General features: G+C 42.4%; 2 long non-coding RNA genes across 2 annotated transcripts in view, besides 1 other annotated feature; one reads left to right on the top strand and one right to left on the bottom strand.

Annotated features, from left to right (window-relative positions):
* Positions 1–4,089, bottom strand: part of LOC124904539 (uncharacterized) — a 19,823-nt gene extending 15,734 nt beyond the window's left edge. The window contains exons 1-2 of the long non-coding RNA XR_007066920.1: positions 3,856–4,089; positions 2,895–3,007 (exon numbers count right to left, since the gene is read on the bottom strand). This is a non-coding gene — a long non-coding RNA (uncharacterized LOC124904539). The remainder of the gene's footprint in view (positions 1–2,894; positions 3,008–3,855) is intronic.
* LOC105373143 (uncharacterized) lies at positions 2,916–19,571 on the top strand. The gene is made up of 3 exons (XR_949234.2): positions 2,916–3,056; positions 17,137–17,269; positions 19,475–19,571. It is a non-coding gene; the product is annotated as an uncharacterized LOC105373143 (long non-coding RNA).
* Positions 11,503–12,363: an enhancer, noted in NCBI's record as "H3K27ac-H3K4me1 hESC enhancer chr1:229092976-229093836 (GRCh37/hg19 assembly coordinates)". NCBI's record gives its function as "activates a minimal SCP1, AML or CMV promoter by ChIP-STARR-seq in primed H9 embryonic stem cells {active_cell/tissue: H9 hESC(primed)}" and the evidence as "EXISTENCE:reporter gene assay evidence [ECO:0000049][PMID:30033119]".
* Positions 19,572–24,066: the final 4,495 nt, after the last annotated feature.

Consider the following 24,066-nt stretch of genomic DNA (forward strand, 5'->3'; position numbering starts at 1 on the left):
TAATGCTATGTGTCTTAGTCCATTTTGTGTTGCTATAAAGGAATACCTGACACTGGGTAATTTATAAACAAAGAGATTTATTTGGCTCACAGTTCTGCAGATTGTACAAGAAGCATGGCACCAGCATCTGCTTCTGGTGAAGGCCTCAGGCTGCTGCCACTCATGGTGGAAAGCAAAGGGGAGCTGTTGTATGCAAATATCATATGGTAAGACAAGAAGCAAGAGAGCAAGGTGGGAGATGACAGGCTCTTCTTAACAACCAGCTCTGGGGGAGAGGGGAGACTAACAAAAGCCAGAATTCATTCACCTCTCCCTCCCCTCCAGCCAGGGAGGACATTAATCTATTCATGGGAGATCCACCCCTGTGACTCAAACACCTCCCATTAGGCCCCGCCTCCAACATTGGGAATTAAATTTCAACATGAGGTTTGGGGAACAAATATCCAAACTATAGCAGCATGGCATTAGATGGCTGAGGCTACCCGATAAACACGCTTTGGGATTCCTCCTCACCCTCTCTCTGGAGAAAGCCTCTGACATATCATGGTGACACTCAAACAAACTGGAGAGCTCAAGAGGTGAGGAAGCGAGGCCTCCAGGGAACTTCGTGGCGACACATCATCTTGGAAATGGATCCTCCAACTCTGGCCTACATCTTGTCTACAACCTCATGAGAGACCCTGAGCTAAGTCATTTTTGAACTCCTGACCGAAAGACATTGTGAGATAATAAACTGTCGTTGTGTATATCACCAAGTATTGGGATAATTTGTCTTATAGCAATATATAACTAACACAATGGAAAAGGAATTAGATCCAGAAGTTTCGAAATTAAAAAGGTTACTTCTAGTGGTGCTGCCATTGCATTTTACCTTGCTAGTGGAAGTCTTTAGACCTCTTTCCCTATAATCTCCAATACTTCCCAAAGCTAACCCAAATAAACATGAGATATCAGTTTTAAAAAATCAGTGGACTCACTATGAAACAATAAATTCAAGATAAATTCCTGAATACGCTTTCCCAACCAAAGTTATTACCCTAAATCTCTCCTTGACAGAAATTCCAAAATTATTACCAATAACTTCAAAAATTACAGTTCCCAAATAGTGAGGAGACTGTTGCTAGCCCTTTGTCTTTATCTCAATAGGAGAAAGATTTTTAAATGCAGTGGATGTTGTGGACCATGAGAAGATTATCTTCTATAACAAAAATATATGTATGTATAATTTCTATTCATCATTTGTTAAGCTCCAGTGAAATGCAAAATACTTTTTCAAGCAAATAGCAAGTCTCAGTAAATACCTGCTATAAGCTCAAGATCAGAGCGGAGGAAACCCAAATGTGATATAAGCTCAGTTCTCACCTTCTAGGAGCTTAACATTTAGCTGGCGAGATCAGACATGCATGAAACAAATTGGAAAAATACAAAATGAAATTTAAGTGGTAATGGAATGTAGGGAAGAAAAAATAATTTCCTCTCTACTCTTTATAGTTCTTAGTTAGGATGGACCCCTGTAACAACAGATAGCCTAACGAGGGAAAAACAAATACAACTTTATTAACACATATAGCTCATGTATGCATGGGAGCTACCCAGAGAAAAAGAGTAAATCACAAAGAGGTGGCTGTGAGTTCAGGTTTAAATATGATTTTCAACTGAAACAAAGAAAGAAGGTGCCATGGTTTGAATGGCCACTCTGTCAGGCTTCTGAGCCCAAGCCAAGCCATCGCATCCCCTGTGACTTGCCCATATACGCAAAGATGGCCTGAAGTAACTGAAGAATCCCAAAAGAAGTGAAAAGGCCCTGCCCCTCCTTAACTGATGACATTCCACCATTGTGATTTGTTCCTGCCCCACCTTAACTGAGTGATTAACCCTGTGAATTTCCTTCTCCTGGCTCAGAAGCTCCCCCACTGAGCACCTTGTGACCCTCGCCCCTGCCCACCAGAGAACAACCCCCTTTGACTGTAATTTTCCATTACCTTCCCAAATCCTATAAAACGGCCCCACCCCTATCTCCCTTCGCTGACTCTCTTTTTGGACTCAGCCCGCCTGCACCCAGGTGAAATAAACAGCCATGTTGCTCCCACAAAGCCTGTTTGGTGGTCTCTTCACACGGACATGCATGAAATTTGGTGCTATGACTCGGATCAGGGGACCTCCCTTGGGAGATCAATCCCCTGTCCTCTTGTTCTTTGCTCCATGAGAAAGATCCACTTATGACCTCAGGTCCTCAGACCGACCAGCCCAAGAAACATCTCACCAATTTCAAATCCGGTAAGCGGCCTCTTTTTATTCTCTTCTCCAACTTCCCTCACTATCCCTCAACCTCTTTCTCCTTTCAATCTTGGCGCCACACTTCAATCTCTCCCTTCTCTTAATTTCAATTCCTTTATCCCAAATCAGATAGCGTTTAGGCTCCTTTTCATCAAATATAAAAATCCAGCCCAGTTCATGGCTCATTTGGCAGCAACCCTGAGATGCTTTACAGCCCTAGACCCTAAAACGTCAAAAGGCCGTCTTATTCTCAATATACATTTTGTTACCCAATCTACTCCCGACATTAAATAAAACTCCAAAAATTACAATCTGGCCCTCAAACCCCACAACAGGACTTAATTAACCTCACCTTCAAGGTGTACAATAATAGAAAAAATTTGCAATTCCTTGCCTCCACTGTGAGACAAACCCCAGCCACATCTCCAGCACACAAGAACTTCCAAACACCTGAACCGCAGCGGTCAGGCGTTCCTCCAGAATCTCCTCCCCCAGGAGCTTGCTACAAGTGCCAAAAATCTGGCCACCGGGCCAAGGAATGCCCGCAGCCTGGGATTCCTCCTAAGGCGTGTCCCATCTGTGCGGGACCCCACTGAAAATCAGACTGTTCAACTCACCTGGTAGCCACTTCCAAAGCCCCTGGAACTCTGGCCCAAGGCTCTCTGACTCCTTCCCAGATCTTCTCAGCTTAGCGGCTGAAGACTGACGCTGCCCGATCGCCTTGGAAGCCCTGTAGACAATTACAGATGCCGAGCTTCGGGTAACTCTCAGAGTGGAGGGTAAGTCCGTCCCCTTCTTAATCAATACGGAGGCTACCCACTCCACATTACCTTCTTTTCAAGGGCCTGTTTCCCTTGCCTCCATAACTGTTGTGGGTATTGACGGCCAGGCTTCTAAACCTCTTAAAACTCCCCAACTCTGGTGCCAACTTAGACAATACTCTTTTAAGCACTCCTTTTTAGTTATCCCCACCTGCCCAGTTCCCTTATTAGGATGAGACACTTTAACTAAAGTATCTGCTTCCCTGACTATTCCTGGACTACAGCTGCATCTCATTGCCACCCTTTTTCCCAATCCAAAGCCTCCTTTGTATTCTCCTCTTGAATCCCCCCACCTTAACCCACAAGTATAAGATACCTCTCCTCCCTCCTTGGCGACCGATCATGCACCCCTTACTATCTCATTAAAACCTAATCCCCCTTACCCCGCTCAATGCCAAGATCCCATCCCACAGCACTCTTTAAAATGATTAAAGCCTGTTATCACTCGCCTGCTACAGCATGGCCTTTTAAAGCCTATGAACTCTCCTTACCATTCCCCTATTTTACCTGTCCTAAAACTGGACAAGGCTTACGAGTTAGTTCAGAATCTTAGCCTTATCAACCAAATTGTTTTGCCTATCCACCCCGTGGTGCCAAACCCATATACTCTCCTATCCTCAATACCTCACTCTACTACCCATTATTTTGTTCTGGGTCTCACACATGCTTTCTTTACTATTCCTTTGCACCCTTCATCCAAGCCTCTCTTTGCTTTCACTTAGACTGACCCTGACACCCATTAGGCTCAGCAAATTACCTGGGCTGTACTGCCACAGGGCTTCACAGACAGCCCCCATTACTTCAGTCAAGCCCAAATTTCATCCTCATCTGTTACCTATCTCGGCATAATTCTCATAAAAACACAAGTGCTCTCCCTGCTGACCGTGTCCGATTAATCTTCCAAACCTCAATCCTTTACAAAACAACAACTCCTTTCCTTCCTAGGCATGGTTAGTGCAGTCAGAATTCTTACACAAGAGCCAGGACCGCACCCTGTAGGCTTTCTGTCGAAACAACTTGACCTTACTGTTTTAGCCTCGCCCTCATGTCTGCGTGCAGTGGCTGCCGCTGCTTTAATACTTTTAGAGGCCCTCAAAATCACAAACTATGCTCAACTCACTCTCTACAGTTCTCATAACTTCCAAAGTCTATTTTCTTCCTCATACCTGACGCATATAATTTCTGCTCCCCAGCTCCTTCAGCTGTACTCACTCTTTGTTAAGTCCCACAGTTACCACTGTTCCTGCCCCAGACTTCAATCCGGCCTCCCACATTATTCCAGATACCACACCTGACCCTCATGACTGCATCTCTCTGATCCACCTGATGTTCATCCTATTTCCCTACATTTCCTTCTTCCCTGTTTCTCACCCTGATCACGCTTGATTTATTGATGCCAGTTCCACCAGGCCTGATCACCACACACCAGCAAAGGCAGGCTATGCTATAGTACAAGCCACTAGCCTGCCTCTTAGAACCTTTCATTTCCTTTCCATCGTAGAAATCTATCCTCAAGGAAATAACTTCTCAGTGTTCCATCTGCTATTCTATCTGCTATTCTACTACTCCTCAAGGATTATTCAGGCCCCCTCCCTTCCCTACACATCAAGCTCAAGGATTTGCCCCCGCCCAGGACTGGCAAATTAGCTTTACTCAACATGCCCTGAGTCACAAAAACTAAAATACCTCTTAGTCTAAGTAGACACCTTCACTAGATAGGTAGAGGCGTTTCCTACAGGGTCTGAGAAGGCCACCGCAGTCATTTCTTCCCTTCTGTCAGACACAATTCCTTAGTTTAGCCTTCCCACCTCTATGTAGTCTGATAACAGACCAGCCTTTATTAGTCAAATCAGCCAAGCATTTTTTCAGGCTCTTAGTATTCAGTGACAGACTAATGGTCTATTAAAAACACACCTCACCAAACTCAGCCACCAACTTAAAAAGGACTGGACAATACTTTTATCACTTTCCCTTCTCAGAAGTCAGACCTGTCCTCAAAATGCTACAAGGTACAGCCCATTTAAACTCCTGTATAGACGCTCCTTTTTATTAGGCCCCAATCTCATTCCAGACACCAGACCAACTTAGACTGTGCCCCCAAATAACTTGTCATCCCTACTATCTTCTGTCTAGTCATACTCCTATTCACCATTCTCAACTACTCATACATGCCCTGCTCTTGTTTACACTGCCGGTTTACACTGTTTCTCCAAGCCATCACAGATGATATCTCCCCGTGCTATCCCCAAACTGCCACTCTTAACTCTTGAAGTAAATAAATAATCTTTGCTGGCAGGACTATGCTGAACCTCCTTAGGCACTCTCTAATTAGATGTCCTAGGTCCTCCCAATTCTTAGTCCTTTTATACCTGCTTTTCTCCTTCTCTTATTCCATTTAGTTTTTCAATTCATACAAAACCGTATCCAGGCCATCACCAATCATTCTATACGACAAATGTTTCTTCTAACAACCCACAATATCACCCCTTACCACAAGACCTCCCTTCAGCTTAATCTCTCCCACTCTAAGTTCCCACGCCGCCCCTAATCCCACTTGAAGCAGCCCTGAGAAACATCGCCCATTCTCTCTCCATACCACCCCCCAAAAATTTTTGCCACCCCAACACTTCAACACTATTTTGTTTTATTTTTCTTATTAATATAAGAAGGCAGGAATGTCAGGCCTCTGAGCCCAAGCCAAGCCATCGCATCCCCTGTGACTTGCACGTATATGCCCAGATGGCCTGAACTGAAGAATCATAAAAGAAGTGAAAAGGCCCTGCCCCACCTTAACTGATGACATTCCACCATTGTGAATTTTCTTCTCCTGGCTCAGAAGCTCCCCCACTGAGCACATTGTGACCCCCACCCCTGCCCACCAGAGAACAACCCCCTTTGACTGTAATTTTCCATTACCTTCCCAAATCCTATAAAACGGCCCCACTCCTATCTCCCTTCACTGACTCTCCTTTTGGACTCAGCCCGCCTGCGCCCAGGTGAAATAAACAGCCATGTTGCTCACACAAATCCTGTTTGGTGGTCTCTTCACACGGACACGCATGAAACACTCCAAAACTCATGTTGACCCTTTGTCCTCAGTGTGGCAGTATGAGAGGCGGGGCCTTTAAGAAGTGATTGGATCATGAGAGTTCCGCCCTAATGAATGGGTTAGCCCATTCATGTATTAATAGATTAATGGGTTATTATGGTAGGGGAACTGGTAGCTTTACAAGAAGAGGAAGAGAGACCTGGGCTAGCTAGCACATGAGCAAGCTCAGCCCCCTTGCCATGTGATGCTCTGTGCCTCCTTGGGATGCCTCAGAGACCTCTCCTAGAAAGAAGGTCCTCACCAGATGCAGCCCTCTGACCTTGAGCTTTCCAGTCTCCATGACTGTAAAAAATAAATTTCATTCTTTTTTAAAATTGAGACATAAGAGATGTATATATTTTGGGGTTACATGTGATCTTTTGATACATATGTATAATGTGTAATAATCAGATTAGGGTAATCGGAACATCCACTACCTTAAACATTTATCTTTTCTGTACTCTGGGAACATTTGAATTATTCTCTACTAGCTATTTTGAAATATACAATGAATTGTTGTTTACTATAGTCACTGTACTGATTTATTGAACATTAGGTCTTATTTCTTGTAACTGTATTTTTTCTATCAATCATCCTCTATCCACTTCTCCCCTCTACTCTGGCCTCCGGTATCCACCAATCTACTCTCTATCTTCATGAGATCCGCTTTGTTAGCTCCCACATATGAGTAGAACATGTGGTGTTTGACTTTCTGGGCTTGGCTTATTCTACTTGACATAAGTTCGTCTCTGTCGCTGTAAATGATGAGATTTTATTCTATTTTAGGACTGAATAATATCCTATTGTGTATATACACCAAGTTTTCTTTAACCATTCATCCATTGATGCGCACTTGGGTTAAGTCCATATTTTGGCTATCATGAATAGTGCTGCAATAAACATGAGGGTGCAGATATCTCCTCGATACATTGATTTCCTTTCATTTGGATAAATAACCCAGCTGTGGGATTGCTGGGTCATATGGTAGTTCTATTTTTAGTTTTTTGAGGCACCTCCATATACTTTTTCATAATGATTGTGCTGATTTATATTCCTATCACCAGTGTACGAAGGGTTCCCTTTCTCCACAATATCACCAGCATTTGTTGTTTCTATCTTTGATAAAAGCCATTTTAACTGAGATGAGATGATATCTCACTGTGGTTTTGGCTTTCATTTCTCTGGTGGTTAAATTAATGATGTTGAGCATTTTACACATACCTATTGGCCATTTGCATGGCCTCTTTTGAGAAAAGTCTATTCAGATCTTTCACCTGGTTTGAAATTGGATTGTTTACTGATTTTGCTATTGAGTTGTTTGAGTTCCTTATATATTCTTGTTATTACTCCCTGGTCACATGGCTAGTTTGCAAATATTTTCTCCCATTCTGTGGTTTGTCTCTTTGTTACAGTAGGTAGCTAGTCATACATGAGCAGGGCAGGAGAAGGCCCCCCGCAACCAGGAATGTCAGGTGATCAACAGGTGATGGTCAGGCGGTTGTTAACTGTCTGTCTAAAATACTTGGTCACAGCCAGCTCCAGGGAAAGGCAGTCTCTCAATAGATAGAAAAAACCTCAAATTAGTGATAGCAGCTTCCTGATAATGAGAGACAGGACTAGCTGGATTTCCTAGGCCGACTAAGAATTCCTAAGCCTAGCTGGGAAGGTCACCACATCCACCTTTAAACACCGGGCTTGCAACTTAGCTCACACCTGACCAGTCAGATAGTAAAAAGAGCTCACTAAAATGCTAATTAGGCAAAAACAGGAAATAAAGAAATAGCCAATCATCTATTGCCTGAGAGCACAGAGGGAGATAAATGATCAGGATATAAACCCAGGCATTCAAGCCAGCAATGGCTAACCTCTTCGGGTCCCCTCCCTTTGTATGGGAGCTCTGTTTTCACTCTGTTAAATCTTGCAACTGCACTCTCTTCTGGTCCGTGTTTGTTACGGCTTGAGCTGAGCTTTTGCTCGCCATCCACCACTGCTGTTTGCCGCCATCATAGACCAGCCACTAACTTCCATCCCTCTGGATCTGGCAGGGTGTCTGCTGTGCTCCTGATTCAGTGAGGCGCCCATTGCTGCTCCCGATCGGGCTAAAGGCTTGCCATTGTTCCTGCATGGCTAAGTGCCCAGATTCATCCTAATCGAGCTGAACACTAGTCACTGGGTTCCACGGTTCTCTTCTGTGACCCACAGCTTCTAATAGAGCTATAACACTCACTGCATGGCCCAATATTCCATTCCTTGGAATCCGTGAGGCAAAGAAACCCAGATCAGAGAACACGAGGCTTGCCACCATCTTGGAAGTGGCCTGTCACCATCTTGGAAGTGGCCCGCCACCATGTTGGGAGCTCTGGGAGCAAGGACCCCCCAGTAACAATAAGATCTCAGGAGTTGGATGAGTGGGCTCAAGCATGTGCACAAAGAGACAAAATGGCAGAGTTTAATGGGTATATGACCTTCCTCTAGGAACATTCAACTGGTTAAGGGAAAAACACCTCAAGTGAGCATGTATACAACTCTAGTAAACACACTGTGTATGTGGCCCCTCCCAGGTGCTGGCAGGCCACTGTGCATACAGACAGCCCACTCCAAGGGAAGAATCAGGGGAGAAGCAGCACAACACCCCTGAAGCATGCCAACGTATAAAACCCCAAGTGAAAAAGTCAAACGGTGCACTTGATCTCTCAAGTCACCTGCTTGGCCCTCTTCCAAGTATACTGTACTTCTTTTCATTCCTGCCCTAAAACTTCTCAATAAACTTTCACTCCTGCTCTAAAACATGCTTTAGTCTCTCCTTCTGCCTATACCCCTCCACTGAATTCTTTCTTCTGAGGAGGTAAGAACTGAGGTTGCTGGAGACCTGTATGGATTTGCTGTTGGTAACATCTTCACTTTTTTGATTGTTTTCTTTGCTGTGCAGAAGCTTCTTAGCTTGATGAAATCCATCTGTCTGTTTTTGTTTTCATTGCCTGTGCTTTTGAGGTCTTACTCAAAAATTATTTGCCCATACCAGTGTCCTGGAGTGTTTCTCCAATGTTTTCTTCTAGCAGTTTTTTAGTTCCAGGTCTTAGATTTAAGTCTGTAATCCATTTTGTTTTTATTTCTGTGTATGGTGAGAGATAGCATACATTCCCCAATGTATGCTCTTGGCACCCTTGTCAAAAATGTTGGCTGTAAATGCATAGATTTATTTTCGGGTTCTTTATGCTATTCCATTGGTCTATGTGTCTGTTTTAATGTCAATACCATGCTGTTTTGATTACTACAACTTTATAGTATATTTTGAAGTTAGATAATGTGATGCCTCCAGCTTTTTTTTTTTGCTTAGAACTTTTTATTTATTTTTTTGCTATTCAGGGTCTTTTGTGGTTCCATGCAAGTTTCAGGATTATTTTTTCTATTTCTGTGAAGAAGGTCATTGACATCTTGATCAGAATTGCATTGAGTCTGATCACATTGAGTAGTATTGAAATTTTAGTAATATTAACTCTTTAAAGTACCTAGTTTCAGGCATTATGTTATAAGCAATAGAAAATGGACTAAGACAGAAAGGCATTGGGGGGCCAATAATGGGGAAGTTACAAGGAAAAACTCAGTAAACAAGGGTAAGGTTTGTTATGTAAATTTAAGTCAGTGCCTTCTCCATTGGTAAGACTCAGTAACTTAGAGTCATTCTTTTCTTCCTTGTACAGACAGGGAGACACCCTTACAAATGGAGATCTTCTTTATACATGTAAGGTCTCTACCAAAGGGTAACTGCTGCACTATTTTTACAGTTTCTCCTGTGTCTAAAGTTTCTGAAAATAATCAGCTCAAATAATCCTTATGCGAAAGAAGCACATTTTAGGGGAGTCATAGTCTGAACTCCTGCAATGTGATAAAGACTGCACATGTAATAATTCTGGAGAAGCCAGGGTACATAAAGCCATGTGAGTCACACTCTCTGCTTGCAAAAGGGTTATCTCCTCAAGCTTGAGTAGGATGGTCCAAGCCTGTGGTTTTATCCCAGGCATGTGGAGGAGTTGGCAGATTAGAAAGAAAAAGGCCTGAGCAGTGCTGAGTGGGCAAGGGCAGCAACACTCTTCTAAAGGGCCAGGGAGTTTTGGACTGAGATGAACTAGATGACCATTAAGATTTATTCCAGTCTAAGATCCAATGCTTCTGTGACTCTAACATGTTTTACAGTTTCTTGTTTTGATGCTGCAGTATTACTAATAGCTATTATTTACTAAGCCACTTACTGTCTCATGTGTCCATATGAAGAGACCACCAAATAGGCTTTGTGTGAGACACAAGGCTGTTTATTTCACCTGTGTGCAGGCGGGCTGAGTCCAAAAAGAGACTCAGCAAGCATGGTGGGATTATCATTAGTTCTTGTAGGTTTGGGGATAGGCGGTGGAGTTAGGAGCAATGTTTTGTGGGCAGGGGGTGGATCTCACAAAGTACATTCTCAAGGGTGGGGAGCATTACAAAGAATCTTCTTAAGGGTGGGGGAGATTACAAACAATCTTTTTAAGGGTGGAGAAAATCACAAAGTACATTGATCAGTTAGAGTGGGGCAGAAACAAATCACAATGGTGGAATGTCATCAGTTAAGGCTATTTTCACTTATTTTGTGGATCTTCAGTTGCTTCAGGCCATCTGGATGTACGCGTGGCAGGTCACAGGGGATATGATGGCTTAGCTTGGGCTCAGAGGCCTGACACTTACTATTGAAACTGCCATTGCAAAATTGTAACTGAGGCAATGAAAGAGATCTGACCTAACCAACTCCGTCTTGCTTCTAACCTCCAAGCTATCCTTGCTCGTTCCTGGATGCAGGCTGAACTAACTTTGGGAGAAACTTAGTTTATAGTTTAGTGTTTAAAACAAAGACGATAATAGCTCTTTCACAAAAATCAACCTTCCTCTTGCCTGGGGACTAGATTCCCTTTGTAGGACTAACAAATTAGCCACAAGATTAGAAATTATGGTTTAGGAGTCATGCCACCGGAAGATTCTGACCCTCCTTAAACTATTCCTAAAATCAGTGCTTGAGCTGTTTTGCAGAGATATTTTGCAGATGCTTCACTTGATGGATTAGCTGGCACCACCCAGATCGATAAACTGGCTCATCTGATCTTGTGGCTCCAACCCAGGAACTGACTCAGGGCAAGAAGACAGCTTTGACTCCCGATGATTTCATCTCTGACCTGACCAATCAGCACTCCTGGCTCACTGGCCTCCCCACATCCACCAAGATGTCCTTAAAAATTCTGATTCCGGAATGCTCGGGAAGACTGATTTGAGTAATAATAAAACTCTGGTCTTCCACACAGCCAGTTCTGCATGAATTACTCTTTCTCTATTGCATTTCCCCTGTCTTGATAAATCGGCTCTATCTAAGCAGTGGGCAAAGTGAACCCACTGGGCGGTTACGCTATGGGCCAGGGTTTGCTGACTACTTCGTATGTATAAGGTTATTTATTCTTCATGATAACATAATTTTTAAAAAGGCATTGTCTTCCCCACTTTACAAATGAGACAACTAAAGTGCAAAAAGTGTAAGTAACTTTCAAAGATCACAGAATTTGAATGCGATGGCCAGGGCTGAGTCCATGCTCTAGACAGTAGTGTTCAACCTCTTCCCTTGGTGCTACCAGCTGGGGCCTGTACTAGTTTTCTATCCTCACCCTTGCACCATGACTTGGAGTCTCTCTGGAAGCTGACAGGAGAATTTCAGAGAAGGCACGACGCATCAGTGCCACTGGGAGGAAAGAAGCTTTTGTTTGATCCTCTAAGCCCCAGTTGGAACCAATCTTCGCAGTGGTGTTGGCAGCCTCAGGACTCTCTGGGGACTTTCCCATTCTGGAAACTGAAGATCTGCTTAAGCGCTGCACAGGTGACAGTTACCCGATCCTCGGCTAGCTCTTTGCTGTGGTGGCCAAGAAAATGCTCATTAAGTTTGGAGTTCTGTTTCCTTAGTTCCTTGTCCTGACAGCCTAAATGATTTCAGATTTTTCCAGTAGTGTGCTCTTCTCCCACCTACAAAACAAAATGTACATGTGCTTCCTAGGTTAAGGGATGGTTTTATTTAGGTCCAACTGGATGGTGGGAACTGAGAAATACTGCATTCGAGGACCGGGGCAAGTTCTGAAGCTCCTAAGCAGTGGGTGCCCACGGAGAATACATTTCAGGTCCATTATTCATGACTTAAGTTGATGTTCTCAAGCATTAGGCCAAAGACCTGAAAAATACAATAATCCCCGAGAAATGTACTGCCCAGAATGTCATATTATCCCACAAGGAGGAATGCCTAACCAAGACTAGGAAAAGGACAAGGCCAAACCCCTTGCTGGGATGTACAAAGTATAATTGCAAATTGTCAGTAATGAAGAATGCCGCATGGTCAGTTGTGTTTACTGGAACTTGTCTAGTGATATCACTGACAGTCAGCAAGGGAGGTCAGGTTCCTGCTGCCTCACGGCCTCCCATAAAAGACAGGAGTAAACTTCTTTGAGTATAATGAGTCTCCCTTTTCCTGTTCCTCTCTCCTTCCATGTATACCTGCTGCTTTCTTTCGAACTAGAAATCTATTTCATTTTGTTTGGAGAATAAAGTCTTTGGTAGATGCTAGTTACTGAATTCATGTGCTGCTTAAGCTCAGAAGACACACGTGGACAGAAACCCTCCTACAGGGAAGTCGAGACTTTCCCTCTGAAAGTTCAAGTCTAAATCTGTTGAAATGAATTTATAAGAAATATATTAACAGAAAATAAGATGCACAAATGTATTAATGTGCACATGGACACGAGAGTCACACAAGTACAAGACTCAAAGAAGGGCCAGATGGTTGAGGCTTATATACTCTCTTCATAGAAGAGAGGGAGATGGGGAAAATGAAAGCAATTTACGGGATTGCAAATAATTTTTAGGGGAATTGAGAGGACTTGGGAGGCAGATATTATCTTGTAAATATTCTTAGGAAACTGAATGGGACCTGCAAGTTACAGGAAAGTGAGGGGCAGAACTGCACTGTGAACAGAGGTGGTCTTATTATGTAGAAAGCCTCCCAGGCAATCTATCGGAGCTGTCCTCAGAAGAACAAATAAAATCTATCTGGGTGCATTTGTGGCTTTTAATCACTTATCTTCTTCTCAGATAAGAAAATTCCAGAGTCCCTTCTTGCACTTGGGGGAAGAGGGTGTGGGGTGAGAGAGGAACAAAAGATTAGAAAGGTTTTGGTTCTGAGGCAGCTTCTAAGGCCTTCCAATTTCTTTTGTCAGCAACAACAAGAACAAAAAGCAAACCCTGTAAAATATTTAAAGAGGCTTATTCTGAGACAATATGAGTGACCACGGCCCAGAGAACAGTCTCACAAAGTCCTGAGAAAGTGTCCCCAAGGTGGGCAGGTTACAGTTTGGTTTTATGCATTTTAGGGAGACAGAAGTTACAGACAGACATAAATCGATACATGTAAGGTATATATTTGTTTGGCCTGGAAAAGCAGGACGTCTCAAAGTGGCAGATTATAGGTGCATTCATAAGGGAATACTATGAGTGGAAAGATGTTCCTGTGAGTGGAATCCACTCACAGGTGGATTCAAAGATTTTCTGATTGGCAAGTCATTGAAAGAGTTCAGCTAAAGACTTCAAGTCAGTAGAAAGAAATACTTAAGTTAGGATAAAGGGGTTTGTGGAAGCCAAGGTTCTTGTTATATAGAGAAAGCCTCCACGTAGCAGGCTTCAGAGAGAATAGATAGTAAATACCTTTTTTGAGACCTTAAAAGGTGTCAGACTCTTAGTTAAATTCTCCTACATCCGGGAAAGTTCTGGCTGCACTAAATGTGATTCTCTACAAGCACAAAATTTTCCCCACAAAAGAAAACTTTTCAGCCATAAAAAATGATGAGTTCATGTCCTTTGTAGGGACATGGATGAAATTGGAAATCATCATTCTCAGTAAACTATCGCAAGAACAAAAAACCAAACACCGCATATTCTCACTCATAGGTGGGAATTGAACAATGAGAACACATGGACACAGGAAGGGGAACATCACACTCTGGGGACTGTTGTGGGGTGGGGGGAGGGGGGAGGGATAGCTTTAGGAGATATACCTAATGCTAAATGATGAGTTAATGGGTGCAGCATACCATCATGGCACATGTATACATATGTAACTAACCTGCACATTATGCACATGTACCCTAAAACTTAAAGTATAATAATAATAAAATTAAAAAAAAAAGAAAACTTTGCAGAACCATTTCAAAATATGTCAAAGAAATCTACTTTAGGGTAAAATATTTTTATTTCTTTCAGGATCTGCTATCTGTCATGTGATGCTATACCAGAGTCAGGTTGGAATTTGGTATCTTATTGCTGAAGAGTCCGTTCTGCTAGTCTTAGGATCTCTATTTTAATGTTAGTGCTGGTCACTTGTACCTAAATTCAAAAAGGCAGGGAGTAACAGGAGGCCTGTTCAAACTTCCTTCCCATCATGGCCAGGAATTCAGTTTTTCAGGTTTCTCATGGCCCAGAGGGGGTCTGTACAATTGGTTGTGGGGGCTTAGAATTTTAGTTTTGGTTTATATATTTAATCTGAAGTGGCCAGTATGCCACAGTGCCATATATTGGGGTTATTCTCTTGCCCCAACATCCTAATCCCCAAATGTTGATATTTTAGTGTATGCAAACTTGCTTCTATTTTTCTTCTGAGAATTTTAGCTTTCCACTAAATCCATAAGTCATTCCTTTAAATCCACAAGTCCTTCCTTTTGGGGATTATTAAAAGTGCTGGGGACTTAGAGATAGGAAAGAGACTAAGAAGAAGGCAGGGTAAGGAAATGAGTCCAACGTTGAAGTTTAGGGATGGAGATGGGAAACTGAGGATGGCAGGACCAGCCCAGAGCTGCCCCTCGGCCTCTGACCAGAGGGGAGAGGGCCCCTCCCAGAAGGCAGCCCTAAAGCAGAGCCCAACGGGCCATGCGTGCAGGAGGAAGGAAGCAGGCCCAGCAAAAAATTCTCTTTTAGTTCCCTCTTAGGGTGCAGATGAGGGTGGAGGGGAGTGAAGTCAACCTGTTCTGAATGTGAGGCCTGTGTGCTTTCTGGGACACCAGGGATTTGGGACCCACTGGAGGTTCACAGAGATATTCTTAGGGAGCCTGACTGTTCTCAACGAGAATGTTTAAGTTTGTGTTTTAATTTTAAAACTCTATCTGTAAGCCATTCTGGATTATCCTGGTGACATTCTTAGCAGCATTTTCAGGTTCTCCATTGGAGTTTTGTGTTTCTAGGCCTGGCCTCATGTGGCGAGAGTTACTGATCACAGCTCATAACAAGTCAACAGACAGAGGCATAGGAAGGCCAGCTGATAGCCAGGTGACACCCCACATGCTCAGCAAATGGGAAGCTGGCAGCCCTGCATATAGAAAAAGTGGTGGGAGCAGGACATCATCCCAGAGTGTATGGTGGGATGGGAGTTACAAACTGAAAAGAACTGCAAATTCAAGGCTATAGGCACACTGAAAATATCTATTTAGTGTCTGCAAAACATCTACCACATTAGTGTTGTCAGTTTCCGTTTTTATAGTTTTTTTGGTAGTTATATATATATATGTATTTTCTGGGTTTTATAGTTGTATAGATCTCTATACAGAATAGAAACCTAGAATTATGCTTTTTTTTATGAAGCACACACATACAAAAGTAAAGGCAAAAGAAGTCGACACCAGACAACTGTCGGGTTTTTGGGGATTTTTTTGTTTTTGTTTTCCTTAAGCGTAACAAAAAATCAGCATGTTCCTCATTTTGACGCTAAGCTGATGAAAGCTCCTCCTTTATGTCAGTATGGTTCCCCTCTGGGATCTGTGCAATCCTCTGCCAAATGGAAGGACCCTTACTGAAGGTGTAACAGACACATCCACAAGTCTGTCCTGTAATGTCACGTGTAAATCGTGATGGCTGCAACAAAATCAAATCAACAGGACAAAACAAAACAAAGCAAAACGGGTTAAGTAGAGAATAAACTCAGAACACCATAACCTTTGAAGCTAAGAAAAGAAGCAGACTCATGTGGCAGACATTATATTTTTTACTGTGGTAATATATTCCTAACATAATGTTTATCATTTTAACCATTCGTGAGTGTGCACTTCAGTGGCATTACACACATTCATATTGTTGTGCAGCCATCAGCACCATCTATATTCCAAAACCTTTTCATTCTACCCAACAAAAATGTTGTACCCATTAAATAATAGCTCCCAACTCTTTCCTCCTAGCTTGTGATAACCCCTCTTCTTCCTGTCTCTATGAAATTACCTACTCTAGGTACCTCATGTAAGTGGAATCATACAGTATTTGTCTTTCTGTGACTGGCATATTTCACTTAGCATTATTCCTTAATGTTAATCAATGTTTTAGCATATATCAAAGTTTAATTCCTCTTTGTGACTGAATAGTATTCCATTGGACAGACATACCACATTTTATTTATCCATTCATCCATCAGTGGCTTTACGGCTTTTGTGAATACTGTTGCTGGTGTACAAGTATCTGTCCCAGTCTCTAATTTTAATTTATTTGCACATATTCCTAGGAGTGGAATTTTGGGGTCATATGGTAATTCTGTTTAATCTTTTAAGAAATTGATAAATTGTTTTCCACAGTGGTTGGACCATTTTACATACCCACCAGCAATAAAAAAAGATTCTAATTTCTCTACATCTTTGCCAATATTTGTCATTTCCCCCTACCACCCCCTACCTTTATTTTCTAAGAGATAGGGTCTTGCTATGTTGACTAAGCTGGTCTTGAACTCCTGGCCTCAAGTGATCCTCCTGCCTCCCATCTCCTCCCCTCTCAGTTTACTGGAGGGCTTCTGAGAAAGAGTTTTGCACAATTAAAAAATACACAAGAAAGAGGCAGTCCTTTTTCTTCTGGATTTTTTTGTTTTAGATGAGATATCTGGAATTGCACAGCCAACTTACCACCGTGAGGGCAACTGTCCTGAAGACCAATCCAACCTGTGGAAGTCAGCAGAGCAGAAAGAGTAGATCTCTGGTCCCCAAAGACGTTGTTGAGTTATCAGGTGAGCCAAACTTGGAGCTGCACCACCTTGGAACATCTTGTCATATGTGATTATACATCTCTAACTGACAAGGACGTTGGAGTCAGGGATTTCTGTTCCTCGAAGCCAAAGCCATTTTAATTAGGATTTTTAAAATTTCTTCTTTGAAATGCACACAATTATACATATAAAATTAATATATATTGACCAAATATTTATGGCATCAAACATCAGTTTGATTTTTTTTCTTTTTTTTTTTTTAAATTATACTTCAAGTTCTGGGATACATGTGCAGAACGTGCAGGTTTGTTACATAGGTATACACGTGCCATGGTGGTTTGCTGCACCCATCAACCCGCCATCTACATTAGGTATTTCTCCTAATGCTATCCCTCCCCTAGCCCCTCACCCCCTGACAGGCCCCGATGTGTGATATTCCCTTCCCTGTGTCCATGTGTTCTCATTGTTCAACTCCTACTTATGAGTGAGAACATGCGGTGTTTGGTTTTCTGTTCCTGTGTTAGTTTGCTGAGAATGATGGTTTCCAGCTTCATCCATGTCCCTGCAAAGGACATGAACTCATCCTTTTTTATGGCTACATAGTATTCGTGATTTTTTTTAAGAGACAAGATCTCGCTCTGTTGCCCAGGCTGGAGTGTGGTAGCAAACATAGTTCACTGCAATCTCGAACTCCTGGGCCCAAGCAATCCTCCTGTCTCAGCTTCTGGCGTCTCTGAAACTACAGGCACACACCATCATGCCCAGCTAATTTTCTTTATTTTTAGTAGAGATGAGGTCTCACTCTGTTACCAGGCTTGTCTTGAACTGCTAGGCTCAGGTGATCCTCCTACCTTGGCCTCCCAAAGCATTGGGATTACAGGCGTAGGCCACTGGACTCAGCCTTAATTTGATCTTTGTCAGCACTGTAATAGCTCACAATCTGCTTATTGGAAGATAAGCGATGCAATATAAAACCTTATGAGATTAAGTATCAAAGGAAATATCACAGCCAGTCAGTGGTTCAGAGGAAGGAGTGAGGTTTGAGGCTGGAGTGGGATCCAGGCCAAAGTGGAGGTCATAGCTGAGCTGGACCTTGGAGGTGGGCAGGATCACAAGAAGACAAATGGAGGGGGCATTTTCTCCACTCTTTAGTCACATTTCTTTTTATAAGGAAAAAAAGTGCCCATATACCAAAGATTGTGCTCAGGAATTTCTGATAGTGATTGAAGCAATCCCTCTCTCTAATCTCACTCTCCCTGCATTCCTTCAAGTACAAGCTGTTTTCAAAATATTCTAGCACATTTCTTTGCAAACTGTTTTCATCATTTGGAACTTGCTATCTCACCTAAATGGAATGTGAGTTTACTCAGTTCAGAGTTTTTCAGATGTGATAGGAGGAGTCACATGAGCTGAAGCAAACCACCCAGCGGCCCCTGGAAAGATCTTCAAGCTCCCAGTCGTGGGTGGGACCCTTCCGACCCTACAGTGTACTGATTAAAATACAAGAAAAACAGATGAACAAAACCCAAAGCAGCTGCCCTTGCTTGCTCAGTGTGTTTGGATCCTGGAGGGGCTAGAGAGAAAGGAAAAGAGGTGTCCCTTAGTGAGGAGTGACCAAATGTCCCCTCCCCTTGTTACACACTGCAGGACAGCATTCTGCTTCCACAGGACAACTCAGAGAGGCCACATCCTGCTGTCTGTAAACACTGCTGCTGTGTGTAAATAAATCTCATTCCTGGAAGGGTCTTGGGCTGGAGTGAGCAGCTTGATCCATACCAGAGACAGTGAGCCTCCAAGACAAGGCACAGGGGAGAGGACAGACGGCCAGGCCTGGGTCTGCGGCAGGCCACTGCGAACCCCCAGGAAGTCACTTAACAGTCCTGGTTATTCACCATGGAAATGGGAACCCGAATGCTGGGCTCAGGTGGTTGCTGTGAGCAGTACATTAAAACATTTTCCGTATGGCTGTCATTGGCAACGGGGTAGTAGTGAGTGGTGGAAAGATGCGTTATTGGTCTTTGCCCCACCTTCAGAAAGGCATCAAATTTAGGGATTTAGTTGTATCTTTAAATAAGATCATCCACACGGTCATTGTGTTTTATGTGTGCGTGGTGAACAGGGAGACAGCGATGCTAAAACTATGAATTTGTTAAATGTGAAAAATTAAAATATACCATAATTGTTATTACCTTGTCTTGGAGGACTGTGTGTGTGTCTTATATACAGATTTTCTTCTGCCTCTGCCACCCCTGAGACAGCAAGACCAACCCATCCTCCTCCTCCTCAGCCTGCTCAATGTGAAGAAAATGAGGATGCAGACCTTGATGATGATCCACTTCCACTTCATGAATAGGAAATACATTTTCTTTTCCTTATGATTTTCTTAATAACATTTTCTTTTCTTTAGCTTACTTTGTTATAAGAATACAGTTTTATTACATATAATGTACAAAATATGTGTTAACCAACTGTTTATGTTATCAGTAAGGCTTCCAGTCAACAAGAGGTTATTAGTAATTAAAGTTTTAAAGAGTCAAAAGTTATAAGCAGATTTGTGACTGGATGGAGGGTCAGTGCCCCAATCCCTGCATTGTTCAGGAATCCACTGTATTGTATAAGTATGTGTGTGTATGTGTATATATATACCTATATATATACACGTGTATATATATATATTCATATATATATATATACACGTGTATATATATTTTATACACACACACCCACACTCACACATATATCTCCATTCCTGGAAATACTCCAGGCTTGAGTGTATGTATTTCCAGGAGCCTTAAAAAATGGCAACTGCTCAGGAGTGTCTTGACTTCTGAGAGGCTTGCAAAAGATCTAGCAGACAGAGCCCTTCTCAAGTCTGCAGGACAAGGGAAAAAGCATTAGAGAAGGGCAGGCTGGTTTTCAGAGATGTTTCAAGACCCATGGAGACAGGAGCCCCAGGGCGAAGTGTGTGCATTTTGGAAGAATTTGGTAAAGAGAACCACCCATCTGTGCTGGCCCCTATTTTCTCTGCAAGAGAATCTGCTTCATAGGTGCTATGAAATTGCAATTGTGATTGAGCTATTAAATTGCTGCCCATGCCAAACCTGGCTCCATTGAGAGCTGAAGATGTTTCTGAGCTAAATGAACTGCCATCCACATAAATACAGTCACAAGCACGCCCAGGAGCTGGAGCCATCTACCAAGCCCAACGTTCACCTCTTCTTTATTTCTATTTAAAAAACAAACAAGCAAACAAAAAAACTTTTGTTGACATATAACAAACACATCACAAAATGCACTATCTGTAAGGGTACAACTCAGAGCATTTTACAGAGTGAACGCTCCCGTGCCATTCCACCCAGATGAGTACAAAGAGCGTTACCAGCATGCCAGAGCCCTCCTCACACCCTACCAGGTGAGTGTGCCTCCCTCCCAAAGCACCCCCAGCTTCACTTCTAAGACCTTGGATTGCTTGTGCCTGTTTTTAACCTTTATGTAAATGAAATCACACAGTATGTGCATGCTCTTTAGTTTCTGGCCTATCTTGCCCAACCTGATGTCTGTGTGATTCGTTTCTGATCTTCCATGAAGCACCATTTTCATTATTGTATAGGATTCCATTGCATAAATAGACTACCATTTATTTCTCTGTTCTACTATCAAGGGACATTTGGGTTGTCTCTGGATTTTGGCTGTTATAAATACTGCCAATAGAAAGCTTTTTTGTTTATGCATTTGGGGAGGGGGAGGATACACCTAAGAATGAAACTGCTGGCCCACGGGGTCTGCGTATTCAGTTTCCAATGGTTATCCAGGGTGGCTGAGTCAGCTGATACTCCCACCAGCAGAGCCAAGAGTTTCTGTTGCTCCACATCTTATGGACTCTGGGTATTGTCAGTCCTTTTCATTTTCACTCTTCTGGTGGTTGTGAGGGGGTATCTCATTATGGTTTTAATTTAAATCTCCGGGATGTTTGATAAGGTTTAGCACCTTTTCATATGTTTATTAGCTATTTAGAGGTTCTCATGTGTTAAGTGCCTATTCAGGTCTTTGGCCAATTTTTCTACTGGGTTGTCTGTCCTTTTCATATTGATCAGTAGGAGTCTTTTATTTATTCTTCTTATGAACCTTTTTGTTACATGTTGCAGATATCTTCTTTTCATTCTTTTAATGGTATACTTTGATGAACAGAAGTTATAAATTTTAATATAGTCCAGTTTATCAATCTTTCCCTTTATGGCTACTGCTTTTTGTGTTCTCTACCTCAAAGTCACAAAGACAGTCTCCAATGTTATGCTCTATGAGCCTTATTATTTTATCTTTCACATTTTGATCTGTGGTCCACCTGAAATTGCTTTTGGTATATGATAAACGTCAAGATTATTCGTTTTTTGGATATCTAATCAACCCAGCATCATTTGTTTTTTAAAAAAATCCTTTCTCCATTATTTTATGTGCTACCTTTGTCATAAATCACATATCCATATAATGTGGGCCTATTGCTGGACTCTATTCTGTACCATGGGTCTACCCATATATTCTTGCTGCAGTCCTGCACTGTCTTAACTACTATCGATTTATGAGTCTTTATGTCTAGTAGTGCATGTCCCACAACTATTTTCTTCTTCTTTAAGTTTGTCTTAGCGATTTTTAGCCTTTTACATGTGGCTATATATAAATTATAGCATCAGCTTGTCGGTTTCCACCACAAATTCTGCTGGGATATTGATCAGAATTTCATTAAATCAATATAGACCCTTTAGGAAACAATCAATACCTCCAAATATTTAGTTTTTTTGAATCCATGAATATGGTATATTATTTATTTAATTTTTAAATTTCTTTTAGGAATGTTTTATAGTTTTCTGTGTAGGTTTGCAAATCTTGTGTTGAATTTATTCCTAGCTATTTGATCTAAATGAATTTTTTTAAACTTTAACAATTGTCTACTGATACTATGTAGAAATATAATTGACTTTTGCATATTAACTTTGCATCCAGAGAACTTGGTACATCAATTAATTAATTTTAATAGTTTATGTGTAGATTCATTTGGATTTCTACATATAATATGTCATTTGGGAATAATGACAGTTTTATTATTTCCATGCTAACTCTTATACATTTTGTTTCTGCATTTCTTTATATGCTTTATTTTACTGTCTGAGACCTTTAGTACCATGTTTAATAAAATACACATAGTAAACAGACTTGTCTCATTCTCAACCTCAGAGGAGAAAACTTAATTTTACTATTTAATATTATGTTAACTATATTTTTAATTAGATAAAGTTCTATTATATTACAGGCTTAAGAGTTCCTTTTTAAAAATTAAGAACAAACATTGAATTGTATAAAATGCTTTTTTCTGCTTCTATTGAGATGATTGTATGATTTTTTTCCCACATCAAATTACTTTTTTTTTTTTTTTTTTGAGACGGAGTCTTGCTCTGTCGCCCAGGCTGGAGTGCAGCGGCGCAATCTCGGCTCACTACAAGCTCCGCCTCCCTGGTTCACGCCATTCTCCTGCCTCAGCCTCCTTAGTAGCTGGGACTACAGGCGCCCGCCACCACGCCCGGCTAATTTTTTGTATTTTTAGTAGAGACAGGGCTTCACCGTGTTAGCCAGGATGGTCTCGATCTCCTGACCTCGTGATCCGCCCGCCTCGGCCTCCCAAAGCGCTGGGATTACAGACGTGAGCCACCGCGCCCGGCCCCACATCAAATTACTTTTATTGATTTTCAGATGTGAAACTAACCTTGCAACTTGATCTTGATACATTGCCTTTTCTATCTAGTGCCGGGTCGCATTTGCTAAACATTTGTGTAGAGTTTTTCTATCTTTAAATGAGAGTTACCGTAATTTTTCTTTTTTGCAGTTAGACCAAGAAGATCACTTCCGTCTCCTGGGGACGGCACTAATTCAAAGCTGGCTGCCCGTGCCTGTGAGGGTCAGTGTCCAGTTCTGTCTTATTCCCACGCTGTGATCTCGGGCCCCAGCTGAAAGCTGGGAGCGTTCAGCAGGCACCTTCCTCCTTGACATGTTCCGAGCATAGGTTTTTGTGCCTCTGTCCCAGGAGAGTGCCAAAAGCTCTGCTGAGTTTCTCAGCTCAATAGCCTCTCTTTTGTTCCGGAACTGGCTGCTGCCCTGCAGGGAAGTGTTGGTCTAAGTGCTGGGTCCGCCTCTCTCGGACTTTCTCTTTGTGGCCTTTCACATTCTCACTGCCTTGGCCATTATTCTCTGCCTTCAGACGTGTTTTTGTTCTTGTCTTTTTCTGTTTTGTCCGGCTCTTCTCATTATTTTCACTGAAAACTTTGGTCCAAGCAATGGTCAGCCCCTCCCCACTTTGCTTTCCATCCCCAGACTCCCTCCTTCCAGGCCTCTTCCCTTCACACCTACATAGTCCAAACACTGTGGATGCGTGATATCGCCGACCTCCTTGCTGCCAGCCTGTGCCCATCCTCCCCAACCATACACCACCAAGTAGCACTGCCTTGCACATGTCACCCTCCTACTTAAAAGCCTGCCATGGAGGCTGGACATGGCGGCTCACCCCTGTAATCTCAGTGCTTTGGGAGGCCGATGCAGGAGGATTGCTTGAGGCCAGGAGTTTGAGACCAGCCTGGGCAACATGGCAAGACAGACCCCGTCTCTATACAAAATAAAACAACTAGCCAGGCAAAGTGGCATGTGCCTGTAGGTCTGACTATGAGAGTGGCTGAGGAGGGAGGATCACTGGAGCCCTGAAGTTTGAGGCTGTAGTGAGCTATGATTGCATCACTTTACTCAAGCCTGGGTGACAGAGCAAGACCCTGTCTAAA

Source organism: Homo sapiens, chromosome 1, assembly GCF_000001405.40.
Source record: "Homo sapiens chromosome 1, GRCh38.p14 Primary Assembly".
In the NCBI taxonomy this organism is placed as follows: Eukaryota; Metazoa; Chordata; class Mammalia; order Primates; family Hominidae; genus Homo; species Homo sapiens.